At 48.0% G+C, this 16628-nt stretch overlaps 1 protein-coding gene across 2 annotated transcripts in view, besides 4 other annotated features; it reads left to right on the plus strand.

Moving 5' to 3' along the window:
• RASSF5 (Ras association domain family member 5) overlaps positions 1–16628 on the plus strand; it is an 81918-nt gene that overhangs the window by 22471 nt on the left and 42819 nt on the right. For both annotated transcript variants that reach the window (NM_182663.4, NM_182664.4), the window contains exon 2: positions 8171–8292. In NM_182663.4, coding sequence (NP_872604.1) covers positions 8171–8292 — 122 coding nt within the window. The remainder of the gene's footprint in view (positions 1–8170; positions 8293–16628) is intronic.
• Positions 14186–14730: an enhancer, noted in NCBI's record as "H3K4me1 hESC enhancer chr1:206717516-206718060 (GRCh37/hg19 assembly coordinates)". NCBI's record gives its function as "activates a minimal SCP1, AML or CMV promoter by ChIP-STARR-seq in naive H9 embryonic stem cells {active_cell/tissue: H9 hESC(naive)}" and the evidence as "EXISTENCE:reporter gene assay evidence [ECO:0000049][PMID:30033119]".
• Positions 14674–14913: an enhancer, noted in NCBI's record as "active region_2404". NCBI's record gives its function as "activates an Ori minimal core promoter by ATAC-STARR-seq in GM12878 lymphoblastoid cells {active_cell/tissue: GM12878}" and the evidence as "EXISTENCE:reporter gene assay evidence [ECO:0000049][PMID:35858748]".
• Positions 14674–15273: a biological region, named in NCBI's record as "H3K4me1 hESC enhancer GRCh37_chr1:206718061-206718603".
• Positions 14731–15273: an enhancer, noted in NCBI's record as "H3K4me1 hESC enhancer chr1:206718061-206718603 (GRCh37/hg19 assembly coordinates)". NCBI's record gives its function as "activates a minimal SCP1, AML or CMV promoter by ChIP-STARR-seq in naive H9 embryonic stem cells {active_cell/tissue: H9 hESC(naive)}" and the evidence as "EXISTENCE:reporter gene assay evidence [ECO:0000049][PMID:30033119]".

The raw sequence follows: 16628 nt of genomic DNA on the forward strand, positions 1-16628 counted from the left end.
GCATGTAGAATACCTGGTGTATGGTGGGTACTGAGTAATGGTACCTGATGTCATCACAGTGTGGGTACGTGATTTTTCTTTGTTCCCTTTTTGTGGCATTTTTCCATTAGTAAAGAATATATTTCCATTATAAAAATTTAAACAATTTAGTAACTATAGAGGTAGGAAAAGCACTTGAAATCCCATCACTCAAAGCAAACATGTGACCTGCCTTCCAGACAGCTCTCTGCATAATGTATAAGTATGTATAGATTTTATATCATTGAAATCATAAAACACAATCTTTTTCCTTTTTTAGATGTATGTTGTGGACATATTTTCATGTTGACCAATATCAATATGCATCATCTTATATAATGGCTACATAGTATTCCATTTCAAAATATAATTATAACTAGTCTTTTGTAGATGGATGTGGGGGTATTGCTAGCATTTTGTTGTCATAAATAACTATGTGATGAACATTTTAGTGACAATATATTTAGATATGAGTAAATACATACCCAGAATAAATTCCTGCAGGAAATTGATACCACCAATAAGGTAGTACCTTCTCATTCCCCCACATCCCCTTTAATACTGGAACTTATTAACTTTGGTTAACAATTTTCTTTTCTGAAACTAGAGTGAGATTTTAGAAGTTCAAATGTTGGAGGAAGGGTGAGTAGAAAAGCAGGGAGGAGGGATGTTCCAGGGGGCCGGCAGAGGCTTCTCTGCCAAGTGGGGCAGGGTTACCCCTTACAGACTCTAAGCAAGTACACCCAGCCCCTCCCCGCTGCAGGGAGCTGAGCCCTGGGGCCTCCCTTGCTCATAGGGGAGCCATGGAAGGTCTGAGGATGATCAAGACCTTTTCCTTATGACTGTGATGCACCTCCAGGTGAAGGTCTGGAGGAAGGTCAGTGGGCACTGATGGGGTGTGCACAGACGGGCTTTTGAGATGAGGATGTCTGATGCTGTGGCCACTGGCCAGACAGACTTGGATGTTAGCGAGGTAAAAAGGAGAACTAATATTATTGAACACCTAGTATGTAGCAAGTGTTGTGTTGTTATTTACATAACATTCTCATTTGATTCTCAACAACCGTACTGCTATCATCTCCATTTAACAGATGAGGAAACCAAGGCCACTAGAGGTTAGGACACCGGCCTGGGGTCGGATCAGCACTCGCACTCTGGTCTCTCCACTTCAACAAAGGGCAGCAGAGAAGCATTCCTTCCTTTAGTCACTCAACCAATTTGTAGTAGTCCCTTTCTGAATGCTTGCTAGTGAATGGGCTTCCCAAACTCGGAGCAGGGCCCAGAGCAAAGGGCTGCAGAAAGGGTCGCATTCAGGAACTGTGGCCGAGGAGATCCGGAGCAGGCGGTGAGGTTGCAGAGGGAACAACTGTGTCTATTGTATGAGAACCTGAGTCTGAAGGGACATCTTGGGGCCAGGTTGAGAGGCGGTATCCTAGCTGGGGGAGCTGGCAGGGTAGAGGCTGCAGGGTGAGGGTGCAGGGGGCTGGAGGTGGTGGAGCTGCCCTGGGATGGTCTGTGCGCAGAGGGCGCTGGAGACCCTCTCTGGGTGTTCTTGGAGCTGCCATAGCTGGTCCAGCCCAGAGGCTCCAGTGGGGCAACACCCAGTGGAAAAATGGGGGATTCTTAAAGGAGAATCCCCTTGAAAAGGGATTGAAGACAGGTACCATGAGATGGTGACAGTCCCCACTGACTTATTCAAGAGGATCAGGACAAGCTTTACACCTGCCCTTTTAAAACTTTGGTAAATTGAGCCAGGCACGGTAATCCCAGAACTTTGGGAGGCCAAGGCAGGCGGATCACGAGGTCAGGAGATCGAGAGCATCCTGGCTAACATAGTGAAACCCTGTCTCTACTAAAAAAAAATAAATAAATAAATACAAAAATTAGCCAGGCATGGTGGCGGGTGCCTGTAATGCCAGCTGCTTGGGAGGCTGAGGCAGGAGAATGGCGTGAACCCGGGAGGCGGAGCTTGCAGTGAGCCAAGTTCACGCCACTGCACTCTAGCCTGGGCAACAGGGTGAGACTCTGTCTCAAAAAAGAAAAAAAAAATCTTTGGTAAATTGTAATTTTCCAATGCATATTATTTTTTCAGATTTCCCTGTAGTGCCTAAGAACAAAATTATCTTAAAACTAAAAGTGATTTGTGTGCTTGTTTTGGAAATACCTATAGGAATAAGGTTGGTGAGACTCAGGAATCCACATAGCAGAGCAGTGGAAGGAGAGGGTAGGGGATGGATCATTAACTCTTAACTTGGAACCTCCACCTTCCAGGGCTTCTATGTAGTTCTTGACATCAGGAACCCCATTTAATCCTCATGGCAGCCCTAGGAACTGGCTACTATGATTCCTGTTTTAGGGTAGAGAAAATTAATGCTCAGAGAAGTTCATAACTTACCCAGGGTCACAGAGCTAATTGAGCGGGGCCTGGAGGCCTGGAGGACTTTCTTCAAAGTCCATTCTCTTTCCATGACATCACAGCATAGGCCAGGCTGCTGGTCCTCAGGGAGAGAGGGAAGGGGGTGTTAAGGTTTGCTTAAGATTGGCTTTCTTCAAAAAGGCATAGGGATGTTCAGAGAATGCGCATACGTTCCCGGATTCAGAAGTTGTCCTGCTTTCCCTCAGGCATCGGAAGTTGCTTTGTCCATGCAGAGTGAGAAGCTGCTGTTCACTGACCTGGGATTGACCATAGGGGAGGCTGGTAGCTCTGGTGTCATCCAGGCTCAGTCGCCTTGGTGCCCGCCTGGCCCTTACCCACACCTTGGCCTGGGCTGGAGGAGGGGAGAGTTAAATGGAGAGTTCTATGTTGTCTCTGTATCTTGCATGCAACTCGGGTGAAAGGGCCTTAAGGGTTTCTTATCAACAGAATAAGTTCTTATCAACATACCCATTTTCTAGTTCAGAAAATAGCCACTCAGGCTATGCAGCCACACGGCAGAGGGTGCATGTGTGTGCCTCTGTGTGTGTGTGCATTTGGCAACTGGGTTGGGGCAAAAACTAACATTGGCAGCCCTGGGGATTAAGGGGAGGTTTGTAGCTTCTAAATTTTGGAAAAACAGCCTCCTAGCCATGGAACTCCTGTGTCCTGTGTAGTTCCACCTTCTGGCTTTACTTCTTCAGGGCTACAGTGAAAGAAGTAATGCCATCTCCAAGCATAGGCCACCATGGCCTGTGGGCCATGTTTGAAGTGGTGACTTGGCGGTAACCTTCAGGGACTGTGAAGCCCAGAAGCAGGCCTGGTAGAAGTAGGCAGGCCGTCTTGGCTTCAGTTTACCACTCCCTAACCTCCCTGTCCTGTCCTGCCGGCCCACTGTGATCTCTGGAGGAGGTTTCCACTAGAAACCGCCATCTGTTTGGGCCTAAGGGCTCTGTGCTCCTAATATGGCCCAGGGAGGGTCCGTGTTGTGGATTGAACTGGGCTTTCCCCAAAAATGATATACTTAAGTCCTAACGCCCAGGCTGAGCATGGTGAATCATGCCTGTAATCCCAGCACTTTGGGAGACTGAAGTGGGAGGATCACTTGAGGCGGGGAGTTTGATACCAGCCTGGGCAACATAGAGAGACCCTGTTTCAACAGCAACAAAAAAATCAACTGGGCATGGTGGCACACACCTGTAGTCCTAGCTACTCAGGACACTGAGGTAGGATGATGGCTTGAACCTAGGAGTTCGAGGTTATAGTGAGCTATGGTCATGCCACTGTACTCCAACCTGGGTGAGAGAGTGAGACCCTGTCTTAAAAAAAGAAAAAAAAAAGTTCTAACCCCCAGTAGTTCAGAATGCAACCTTATTCGGAAATATGGTAGTTGCAGGTGTCATTAAGATGAGGTCGCACTGGAGTAGGATGGCCTCCTGATTCAAGATGACTGGTATTCTTATAAGAAGACAGAAGCACAGGGAGAACGCCACGTGACGATGGACACAGAGGCTGGAGTCATGCAGCTGCACACCAAGGAATCCAGCAAATCATCAGAAGCCAGAAAGAGGCAACAAAGGACTCTCCTGCATATTTCAGAGCGGGCCTGGCCCAGCCAACACTTGATTTCAAGCTAGCCTCCAGAACTGCGAGACAGTAATTTTCTGTTTAAGTCACCTGGTTCATGGTACTTGGTTCCAGTGGTCCTGGGTGCTGAGGTCCTTGGCCCTCCATCCCAGCTCCTGGTTGTGGCTCCCTTCTGGGGAGAGGGGCTCCTATTGTGGTTTGTCTCCTTCATTTCCCTTTACAGTTGCCTCCTTCTATATACTTTCATAGGCCCCTCTTCCAAATCCTGGAAGCACATTTACTTCCCTCAAAGCATCCCCTAGCAATAGGGATAGGGTCTGTCATTGGAAGGAAAGGCTACAAAGGGGAAAGGATCATTTGATTTTACAGATGGCAATGTCAATATCAAGAAATGCCTGTTCTCCCGGAGAAACTACAGCTAGTTTCTCCTTAATCTGTTGCTGCCTCTTGTTTGCAAGATCCTTGTCCTCTTTAGTGATGACAGAATCCCCTGCCTCCTCTTGGCCCCTGTGATAAGGTCACAGGATTTACCTGGAGTCTCATCTCCTCTGGAAGCTCCCCAGAGCTGCCTGCACCCTGAAGCCCTCCCTGCCTGTTCTGGCTGGCAACTGTCTCTAGTTGAGCAAGCTTCCTAGGTCTGTGCCACAGCCAGGCCCCTGCTTTGGGCTGTCTCTGTTGTTAGTTATCTTTTCACATGTGCATCACATCTGCCCAGTGAGCCTGGGTTTCCCAGGTTTCTTTTCTAATTCATCCTCACCCTCGGGCTAGCACAGAGCACGAGGAAGCCCCCATGCTCCAGACATTGATGCTGCTGCCAGAGGCGATGGCACTAGCTGCCCAGGGAGGGCTGAACCCTTCCTTCCTAGAAGCCATGCTCCACCCAGAGTTTCACTTTTCCCTCCCTCCTTCCTCATCCAAACTGAGCACCTGGCCGGGTGCGGTGGCTCACACCTGTAATCCCAGCACTTTGGGAGGCAGAGGTGGGCAAATCGCTTGAGCCCAGGAGTTCGAGACCAGCCTGGGAAAAATGGTGAAACCCTTTTTTAATTAGCCAGGTGCAGTGGTGGGCGCCTGCAGTACCAGCTACTCAGGAGACTGAGGTGAGCCCGGGAGGTGGAGTTTGCAGAGAGCCACGATAGTGCCACTGCACTGCAGCCTGGGTGGCAGAGTGAAACCTTGCCTCAAAAAGAAAAAACAAAAAACAAAACATAAATTGAGCACCAGCTGAAGGCTGTGGAGGACAGTGGAATACCAAGGGCAGGGGTTGGTTTGGTTTGGCAGCAGCTGGTGACGAGCTGCCTTAAGGGAACTGTGGTCTGTGGAGAATTAACCACTGGGTCTAGTGGAATGTGGCTCTGTCTTTGGAATCTCATGGGTCTCCCCAATCCCTGAAAATGTCAGGCCTGCAGGCTGTTGCTTTTGGGTTTGGAGAAAGGCATGGGGGCTCTGACTTCATCTCTGCTGGCCTAAAAGCCCTGGGCTTGGCATTTCCAGGACGAGGAAGTATGAAGATGTGCTTCAGAGGTTTTGCTGCAGCCTGTGATTACATGGTCCGATGGAACAAAGTCTTTGGTGCTCAAACATGCTTCTTATAAAATCCCAGAACACTTCTCAGAGTCTTCTGCTACTTAGTGTTGTCCAGCTCAGCATGGTGATGTTTTCAGGGTGTGTGTGTGTGTGTGTCTGTGTGTGTGTGGTGTGTGTGTGTGTGTGTGTGTGTGTGTGAGAGAGAGAGAGAGAGATGGAAATTGAGAGATTCAGATGCACAGGTGGACATAGACTGCCTGTGCCAACAGGACAAGGAGCTAAAAGAGGAGGAGAGAGAAATTCCTCCTCTCCCAGGTGCCTTCCCATTTGTGAGTTATGGCAGCTGTCATCACCGTGGAGCTGGGCGAGCTTTCAGTCCTTCCTCCTTTTCCTTGCTGCCATTTCTTGGCATCCTCAGAGCATTCTTCATCGCTCAGAGCTCTACCAGAGCCATACAGGTGTGTCCCAGGGCCAGCGCCAGGAACAATGCTGCCCATTGTGGGTTCTGGCCTCAGTGCTCCCTTATCAAAACCCTGGTATTTCTGGGCACTGCGGGCAGAAGTTTGGCCTGCACTTCCCTTTGTACCCTTCACCTTACTAAAGGGGAGGCTGTTTTTGTGCTGAGCAAGAGGTCTCCCACGGAGGACCAGAAATGCATGTGGGTGCCTGCAGGTAGATGGGTGCATGCCCCAGGGAATTGACTTCATTCATTTCTGTCTCCAAGTGAGAGGAGGAGGGAGGCGTAGAGAAGCGTGGGATCTGAAGGAGAGGATATTGGTGGGCTTCACTTTCGAGCACAAAGGAGATGAGCAGTGAAGGTTCCAGACACTGTTACAGAAAGGTGGTCAGGCCATGGGTAGGAAGGTCGTGCGGTTCTGGGATCTCTGTGTGTCCCCACATTTGTCAGGGTGCTCCCCTATGGACATTAGTGGCAAAACCCGTGCAAGAAACATGGTCCAGGTGCTTATCTTTGGGGGAGTAAGGGAAGGGGCAGCTGGGGAGAGGGGGGTGTCATTCCAAAGCTCCCCAAAAGTGGGGAGAAAAGGAGCCATCACCCCTCTGCCAAGATAGAGTGTGCTGTGGTGGCTTTTAAAAATCGACACCAAATGTACTGAATTTTTGGAGCTTGTTAGAAGGAAGGAAAAGCATTTCGAGGTGCCTGAGCCCTTATCAACAAAAAGTGGCCCCCTAATCCCCAGGTATGCAATCAAGTCCAGGCTGTCACGACTCCTGCCACAAAACCCGCCCACCCTAACCCATCCTCATGACTTGCCTTCACAGTCCAGAAGGAAAATTTATGAGATTCCAGCGCCTAGAAGGCTGGGCCTTCTGGCCGAGCTGAGGCACCTCCAGAATAGGTGACTCCAGCTGACCTGGCAGCTATCTGTGAGGACCACACCTCAGATCCGAGCATTTTCCCTGCGGATGGACTTGTGTTACTTTCTTCTGCTGCCACCTTGTCTTCACTACCCCCCACCCCCGCTCCCCTGCCCTTCCCTCGCCTCCCTGAGTCTCCTGCTGCCTTTGACTTCACCTCCCTTCTGCCAGGAGGCTCCAAAGAGAGCCCTTGAGAAAGCTGGAAAATACTAGCAGCCTTGGTGCTGCCACCAATGAGCTGTGTGTCATTGGGCACCTCACTTTTTCTCTCTGGCCTCAGTTTCCCCATCTCTGAGGTAGTCCCCAAAGCTCTTTTCAACTCTGGTCACTAAGTCTCTGCTTCCATGGAAGTGAACATTGTCGATGGAATGTGCTTCCCCCGCTGAATCCCCGGATCTGGGATGTGGTCTGTGGGCTATTTCAGCTGCATTCAGAGTAGCATCCCCACATTCTAGCCTAGGCCGGGTCAGAGAGAGGTAACAGCACTTCCTGCTGATGATAATGCCTTTGTCTCTGGAAGCACTTTTAATTCTTCAAGATATGTCCTCCTTTATAACTAGAAGCAGGCAGGGGAGCTATTACCCATACAGGCTGAGTATCCTTTATCTGAAATGCTTGAGACCGGAAGTGTTTCTGATTTTGGACTTTTTTCAGATTTGGGAATATGTATGATACCAGTCAAGCATCCCAAATTTGAAAATCAAAAATCCGAATTGCTCCAGTGAGCACTTCCTTAGAGTGTCATGTCGATGCTCAAAGAGTTTCAGATTTTGGAGCATCTTGGAGATCTGATTTTCAGCTTGGGGATGCACAACCTGTATTTTACAGATTGGCAACATAAGGCCCATAAAAGTCAAGTCCTTCCCCAGGGATTTATGGGTGCTGGTGATTAATGTAAAGTGGTAGAAAGAGCACCAGTCTGGGAGGCAGAAGTTCTGACCTTGAGAAAGTCACTCAGTCTCTAGGCACTGATTTTCTATCTGTAAAATGGAAATAATAATGATTGCAGAGTCACACAAAGTAATGCAGGTGAAAGCAGTTTGCAAACGCGTAGAGCACTTAACTTGCATCCTTCCTGGGGGATCCGAGAGCAGGGTGGCATTCTCACGCTGTCTCCCGCCCCACCACTTCTCTCCTGCACTGCTCTTCCCACTGGGAACTAATGCAATCTCCAAGGTTATTTCTCTGGGTGAAAGTGGGGAGGAATCCTGCCTGTCCTCTAATCTCCCTTTTGTTCTTTACCTCCAGACTGTAAATTCACCTGTCACCCAGAATGCCGCAGCCTGATCCAGTTGGACTGCAGTCAGCAGGAGGGTTTATCCCGGGACAGACCCTCTCCAGAAAGCACCCTCACCGTGACCTTCAGCCAGGTAGGTGCCAAAGCTCTCGTACCAAGCTGGGAACAGCCTCTGCAGGTGCCCCGGGCTCCACTTTCTCTCCCAGGAGCTCTGGTGAGCAGGAGGTGGCATGAGGCCTCAGATTCCACATGCACTGGATGGAGTTCACAGACACCCTGTTCCAAGGGGACTAGGGGAAGTGACACAGAGAACTCTGAAGATACTCAGAAGTCCCCTGTAGTTCTCCCCAAGTACAGAGCCTATTGTGGCTTAGGGCTCTGAGCCAGAGATGTGGGTATGAGTGAGCAGTGGGGTGGCTTCCAGAGAAGCCTTCTGACGGTCCCTAAAGGCCTCATAGCCCTGGGACAGTGGGGATGCTGGGGCTGAGGCATCTCAAGCACATTGTCCAGCCAGGCCAGCCCAACCTTCAGAGAGGCTGGGCAAATGTTCTCTCCCTGTGTTAAAGAACCAGAAAATTGATGTCCAAAGCAGCTTTTGGTTCTGGGTTTTGTAAAGACACTTGAACTGTGATGTATCTGAACTTTTATTTCTAGGATTTAGAATGGAGACAGAGGAGTGTGTTTATTGCTTCTTGCATTGAACAAGCATTTGTTGAGTATCTACTGTGTACCAAGCATGGGTGAGAGTTGGGGTAATAAATGCTACGTCACAATTCTTGTCCTCAGACAGCTTGCATTCTGGCAGGGGAGGCAGAATACCAACAAATAGCATACACTGTGATGCATTTTGCAATAAAAGTATGAACCAAGTGTTTGGATATATAGTGCAATTGTTTCTGCTGGGAGAAATCAGGGAAGGCTTCCCAGAGGAGGTGATGTTTGATTTAAGCCTTAATGTGTGGGTTGAAGGTTGCGAGTCAGGGAAGTAAGAATATCATCCTTTAATTCATTTAACAAATAAGTTTCGAGTGTTCACCATGTGCCAGGCCCAGGAATGCTGAGGATTTAATGATGAAAATTACAGACATGGTTTCTACACATCCGGTGCTTACAGTAGGGTAAGGGAGTGAGACTTTAAACAAATATATCCTGTGTCTCTGACGGAAAATCTCAAGGTGCTCTGAGAAACTATACTGGGGGACCCAGGTGCTGGATGGGAGACTCACGAGCAGCCCCCCGGTCTCCAGAGTAGCCATCACATGCTTTTTCTGGAACACAATCAACAGTGTTCAAATGCCTAATTCACCATGGGTGTTACCAGCCTCCCAGCTGTTCCCTCACGCCTTTCTCTCTCCCTGGAAAAAGAATTATTAGAAAGCAAGAATGATATATGTTTTTATAAGGGTGATGCTGGATTAGTTCTAAAATGTATATTTTAAAACTCTGCACATCGCTCCACAGACGTTGGAATAGTAACTATTTCTGGTGTAGCCTGAATGTAGCCTCTTGGAAGGGCCTTACCCTTAGCAGGAACTGTCTACCCAGGATGGGACACAGGGAAAGGAGAGGAGGCACATCTGGCCCCCAAAAGTGCTGATGGGCAATGCAGATGTTTCCTGAAGGTTTTCCTCAGAAGATAGAGGGAGGAGGTTACATAGTACACCATATAGCAACATTTCCTAAAAATCTTATTGAAACAACCTTTTCTGGTCTCAATTTGCTTTTCTCTTTGGGAGCTTCCAAGTGTCTCTTCTTTCTGATCTCCTCAGCCCTGCACGCCACCCTGGAGCCTGGCTGTCCCCATTACTTCCTGGGTCTCCTCTTTGTGTCTCTTTCTGTTCCTTCCTTTAGAGCAGCAGGTCTCAAAAGGCGGCAATTTTACTCACCCCCTAGGACATTTGTCTGGAGACATTTTTGGTTGTCACAACTTAGAGGATGCTACTGATTCTAGAAGAGGCCAGGAATGCTGCTAGCCGGCCTGTTTTGCATAGAACAGCCCCCCACAACAAAGAATTATCTGACCTCAAATGTCAGTTGGGCGAAGACTGAGAAACCCTGCCCTAGAGTGGGCTAGCCAGCTCCCAAGTGTGGCAGGCAAAAGGCCCAGGGAAGGCCTGGAGTTGGCTGGATTCGTTGTCTCATCCTCCAAATGTCAGCAGTGAAGAGATGCTTTCATGTCTGAGTTTTTGGAAACAGAGTGACCCCCTTTCCTCTGCTGGAGAGAGGAGTCAACCTTGGAACCCTCTGGCAAGTGAAATCAGGGCTTGTCTAGAGCAGAAACACCACTGAAACATTGCAGAGGAAGGAGCCAAGAACCCCGCGTGGGAGCTGAACCGCCCCCAGTGGGCAAACAGCCTGGCATGGGGTTTGCTCCTGGGCTGGCCAGATCAGGCTGCTGCTGTATTTGCCTTGGACAGGCCTGCCTGCATGCTTCAGCAGAACTGGGGCAGGACCCAGCCCTCTATCAATAAAACCTGGGCCCTGCTCCAGGCCCACTTGCCTCTTCTAAAAAGCCTGTTTGTGCTCATTTCCGCCTTGGCTTGATTTTCTGTTAAATCTCAAGATGGAGCTTTCTTTCACCTTGACATCATCGACCTGGGCTGAGCTAACTTCATGTGCTAGTGCTGTTTTCTTGGGGGATTTAAGGGAGCAGGGGCTCAGATCTGAGCTCAGCTACTTCCGGGTATATATGGCTTAGGGGGGTCTCGTCTCAGTGGCATTTCTCCTCTCTGATATATATTTTTTTTTCCTGAGACAGAGTCTCACTCTGTTGCCTAAGCTGGAGTGCAGTGGCATGATCTCAGCTCACTGCAACCTCCACCTCCTGGGTTCCAGCAATTCTGCCTCACTCAGCCTTCTGAGTAGCTGAGATTACAAGTGTGCTCCACCATGCCTGGCTAATTTTTGTATTTTCAGTAGAGTTGAGGTTTCACCATGTTGGCCAGGCTGGTCTCGAACTCCTGACCTCAAATGATCCACCCGCCTTGGCCTCCCAAAATGCTGGGATTACAGGTGTGAGCCACTGCGCCCGGCCCTCTCTGCTCTTTAAGGAAAGAAAATCATTTATTTTCCTCCATCCAGAGAGAACCATTCTTTATTAACATTTTTATATGTTCTTCCTGAACATTCATACATTTTTCAAAACATGATTGAGATCATCCTGTAGATAAGCATTTGGCCTCAACATTTCAAAAGCAACAATCCCAAGGTTCTGTCTTGTCTCTGCCATGCCACAGGGAGGCAGCTGGGGAGGAAGGAGGGACAGGTGTGGAAGCGGGCAGGAATGAGCTCAGAATCCCCAGTGGCAAACTCAAAAGGTCATCGGAAACAGGCATCAGAAACCGAGGAAGGCCGCTGGGAGCTGTCTGTGCTTTTGTCAACCACAGAAATGAGGGTTTTGGAGTTTCTCCTTAAAGATCTCTGAGGTCTCTGATATCTGACTTTTCCTTGGGCACCCATGCGTGACCAAGCAAATCTCCTTCAAGTCTACCCTAGACCCCTTTTTCAGTTTAAGCCTCATTTGCTAAGGAACATCATCGCTATTGGCTAAAGACCACAATCAGTTACCCAAACAGCTGCAGTTCTTCTATTTAGGATTATACCCCAAAGAATTTATACTTCTGGTGGTCTTAACGGTGCTCTTATCCTGTCACCCCTGGGAGGAAAAAAGCCCTCAGTGGCTCCTGGTGCCCTCACGATGAAGTGAGGCCTCTGATGGCTTGGTTCAGTCCTTTCGCTGCCTATGGAGAAGCTGGCCCCAAGAGAAGAAGTCTTTGTCCTTGCCCACCACTGGATTCTCATTATCACCCACTGCGGCCCAGGGCAACCCCGGCAGCTCTGTCCCTTTGGCCTTGGGTGCCGCTTTTCTTGGTACATGGAATGCACAGATTGCAAGAGAGAAACATAAGCACTATTCCTTCTACTCCAATCCCTTGCAGCCAGTGCTCAAATTTTATGCCAGCAGGCCCAGAGTCCTACCCCTTCCTCCTGACCCTCTAGAGTCCCTGATATGGTTTGGATGTGTGTCCCCTCCAAATCTCATGTTGATGTGTGGCCTCCAATGTTGGAGGTGGGACTGTTGGGAGGTGTTTGGGTCATGGGGGTGGATCCCTCATGAATGACTTGGTGCTGTCCTGCAATAATGAATGAGCTCTCGCTCTATTAGTTCACACAAGAGCTGGTTGTTTAAGACAACCCTAGCATCTCTTTTTTGCTGTCTCTCTCGAGTGTGACACGCCTGCTCCCCCTTCCCCTTCTACCATGAGTAAAAGCTTCCTGAGGCCTCCCCAGAAGCCAAGCAGATGCTGGTGTAATGCTTGTACAGCCTGAAGAACCCCAAGCCAAATAAACCTTTTCTCTTTATAAATTACCCAGCCTCAGGTATTCCTATATAGCAACACAAAATGGACTAAGACAGTTCCTGGGCAGCAACCTCGGAAACCAGGCTCCCAGGCCCTCAGCTGCAAAGGCCAGCCCCTCCCATGGCCGTTCCCAGACCACACTCAGGCACTTTCCCCACTCAGGACTCAGGCCCTGCTCATGTTCCACCTGTCTACTATTTACTTAACATTTCTCTTTAAATAGACTTATTTTATTAAATTTAAATAAACTTACATTAAAGGAAATTTTAAAATATCCTCGAATCACTGGTTTGATGTACTTAGGAATTTTTTCTCAGCACACATTAAATGAATACTTATAATTTCTTTTAATATGTGTCTAAGGACTGCCTCAAATTTACTCCACAAATATTTATTAAGCCAGGCACTAGCCAGGCACAGTGGCTCACACCTATAATGTCAGCACTTTGTGAGGTCAAGGCAGGAGGATTGCTTAAGCCCAGGAGTTTGAGACCAGCCTGGGCAACATAGCAAGGCCTTGTCTCTACTAAAAATTAAAAACATTGGCCAGGTGTGGTGGTGGTGTGCATCTGTAGTGCTAGCTACTTGGGAGGCTGAGGTAGGAGGACAGCTTGAACTGAGGAGAAGGAGGCTACAGTGAGCTATGATCATGCCACATGCCACTGTACTCCCATCTGGGCAGCAGAGTGAGACCTTGACTAAAAAAAAAAAAAAAATCCACGCACTGTTCTAAAGTCCTTTCAGGTGTCATTTGTGGGAGATGCTGCCCTATCGAGGCCACTCTCTTTGGCCATCTGGTGCCTGGACTACCAGGGCACTGGGTCCAGGGAGTGCCTAAGGGGCAGTGTGAGCAGTGGAGAGAGCTCCTGGGATGCTGAGAAGGAATTGCCAGCTGTTCTTACCAATACCAAGGTGCTCTTCCAAAGGACACTTGGATCTGTATATACTGATACGGAATTGTGCAGCATGAATGCAGGTCCCTCCACGGTACACATAGGACCAGGCCATTTGTATTTTGCATGTATATATACACGTGTGTGTGTATGTGTGTGTGTGTGTGTGTGTGTGTGTAAATGCAGAACGAGGGCCTGGTAGTGCTCAGCTAACTACTGAAAGAGATTTCACCCTGGAAGGGGGTGGACGTTGAAAGGGGTAGAGTGAGGCTCTCACCTTTTGCCCTTTGTTTCTGTGTTGTTTGAATAGCCAAATGCTTTTCATATGTTCCTAATGTCATTTTTTATTTTTATTTTTTATATTGAGTCTTGCTCTGTCACTAGGCTGGAGTACAGTGGTGCAATCTGTGCTCACTGCAACCTCCGCCTCCTGGGTTCAAGAAATTCTCCTGCTTCAGCCTCCTGAGTAGCTGGGATTACAGGCGTGCACCACCATGCCAGGCTAATTTTTGTATTTTAAGTAGACACAGGGTTTCACCATGTTGGCCAGGCTGGTATTGATCTCCTGACCTTGTGATCCGCCTGACTCGGCCACCCAAAGTGCTGGGATTACAGGTGTAAGCCACTGCACCTGGCCCTAATGTCATATTATTAAAAGGCAGTAAATGTTTTCTTAAAACACAGACCCTTGGCCTGGGTGACTGAATAGCTAGGTTCTAATCCAGATTGTGTAGACGAAATACTTGACATATGAGCCAGGACAAGCCTCTTAGTTTCTTTGAGTCTCAGGTTTCTCTTCTGAGAAATGGGACCCTGTGAGGCTCCAGCGAGAAGAGGTGTGTGAAAGCATGAGTGGACAAAAGCATGAGTATTCTAGGTGGCAGTCCTGGGCCATCTCTGGTACCTCTAACAGTCTTGCTAGATGTAGATTTTTTAACTGTGTAACTCCTGTGATGAAAGCCCTCAGTGGCTTCCCATTGCCCTCAGAATGAGTCTAAATCTGGATTAGCACACACAACCCTTATGGTCTGGCTCTGCCAACTCTCCAAAACACCAGAAAGTAGGGTTGTTGTCCTGGATATAAAACCAGGACTCTCTGGCTTTGTGGTTTGGGTGGACATTTTTTGCTATAAGGTTTATGACTATTGTTGAGGCCCCAAGTCACTATTCCACCCTGTGGATGAGTCCCTGTCCCCACTCACCAAAGGAGCAGATGGCTTCCAGGGTTCCAGGATAGATCAGCCGGCCAGCCAGCATTTCAGCCTTGCAGGTCCCTGCTGCCTTTCTGCCTACACCCCCAACCCCAAACACTGTCAAGCCTTAGCAGGGCCCCTGCTGCAATCACCCCTCAGCCCCTGCAGCAGAGTAGTGACTCCGCTGGCTTGGAGTTCTGTGCTTCCTGGCTCCCAGTCCTTTGCTCCCTCCTGCAGACATGCCACTGTCTGCATTAACGCGGTCTCTACCTTTCCAGACCCTTGAGAAAAAAAAAAAAGCTCCTGCGGCCAGTCCTGCCTTGTCCCTCAGCCCAACAGCCACGTGTTGAACCCAGGATGACCACGTGGGGGAGCCAGAGAGCAAGAAGAAATGCGCCTAAAAGGGCAGGTGCTGGGGGTGGGGGGATGTGTCCTTTCCTGAGGCCCCGGGCTCCCTAACACACTTGATAGACCTACCTGCACATCTCTCAGGAAGTGCAGGGTCTTGGGTCCCTTCTGGAAGCTTCAACACATGTTAATTGAACTGTGACTGATAACAACAGTAGCTGACATTTTTTGAGGCATACCTGTGTTCTGTCTACTCATTTCATTTATTATTGAAAGAAGTGTTGAAATCTCCAACTATAATTGTGGATTTGTGTATTTCTCTTTACAGTTAATATGCCTGTATTTTGAAGCTCCATTATTAGGTGCATAAACTTTTAGGAATTTCTTGTGTTTTTTTTTTTTTTTTTTTTAACAGACAGGGTCTCACTCTTTTCACCCAGGCTGGAGTGTAGTGGTGCTCATTGTAACCTTGAACTCCTGGGCTCAAGTGATCCTCCAGCCTCAGCCTCCCAAGTAGCTGGTACTACAGGTGTGTGCCACCATGCCTGAATATTTTTTGAGTTTTTTTATAGAGATGGGGTCTTGCTCTGTTGCCCAGGCTGATCTTGAACCCCTGGCCTCAAGCGATCCTCCTAAAGTGCTAGGATCACAGGCACAAGTCACCACATGGGATACTTTTAGGATTATTATGTCTGCTTAGTTAATTGACCTGTGTATCATTATGAAATGACCTTCTTTATCCCTGTTAACATTCTCTACTATGAAATCTACTTTGTCCAATATTAACATAGTTACTGCAGCTTTCTTTTAATTACCATTAGCATGGCATTCCCTAATCTACCCTTTCATTTTTAGGCTATGAGTCTCTTTATATTTAAAGATCATTTCTTATAGGCAGCAAATAGTTGGATCTTGTTTTTTTTTAAACCAATCTGCTCATCTCTACCCTTTGAGTATTTAGATCATTTGCATTTAATGTGATTATTGATATAGCTAGATTTTTTTTTTTTTTTTTGAGACAGTCTTGCTCTGTCACCCAGGCTGGAGTGCAGTGGCGCGATCTCGGCTCACGATATAGCTAGATTTTAAGTCTATCTTCTTACTACTTTTTTTCTTTTCTTTCTTCTTTTTCTATTTTTTTTTTTTTTTTTTTTTTTTTTTTTTTTTTTTTGGGACAGGATCTCATTCGGTCACCCAGGATGGAGTGCAGTGACACAATCATGGCTCACTGCAGCTTCAACCTCCCCAAGCTCAGGTGATCCTCCACTTCAGCCTCTCGAGGAACTGGGACTACACATGCACCACCACACCTGGCTGACTTTTTTGTACTTTTCGTAGAGACCGGGTTTCGCCATGTTGCCCAGCCTGGTCTCAAGTGATCAGGGGCTCAAGTGATCCTCCCACCTCAGCCTCCCAAAGTGCTGGGATTATGGGTATGAGCTACCGCACCCGGCCAGCTATTGGTTTTCTATGAGTATTCTATCTGTTCTTGGTTCACTTTTTCTTTTTTTCTTTCTTGCCTTCTTTTGGACTACTTGAATGTACTTTATGATTGCATTTTATCCCATTTGTTGCCTACAAGCTTTAACCCTTTGTTTTGTTATTTTAATGGTTGTCTTAGCATTTACAGTATATAAATGGTCCTTAATTTATGGGATTACATCCCAATAAACC

The sequence above is a fragment of the Homo sapiens genome, chromosome 1 (genome assembly GCF_000001405.40).
Source record: "Homo sapiens chromosome 1, GRCh38.p14 Primary Assembly".
Taxonomy (NCBI): Eukaryota; Metazoa; Chordata; class Mammalia; order Primates; family Hominidae; genus Homo; species Homo sapiens.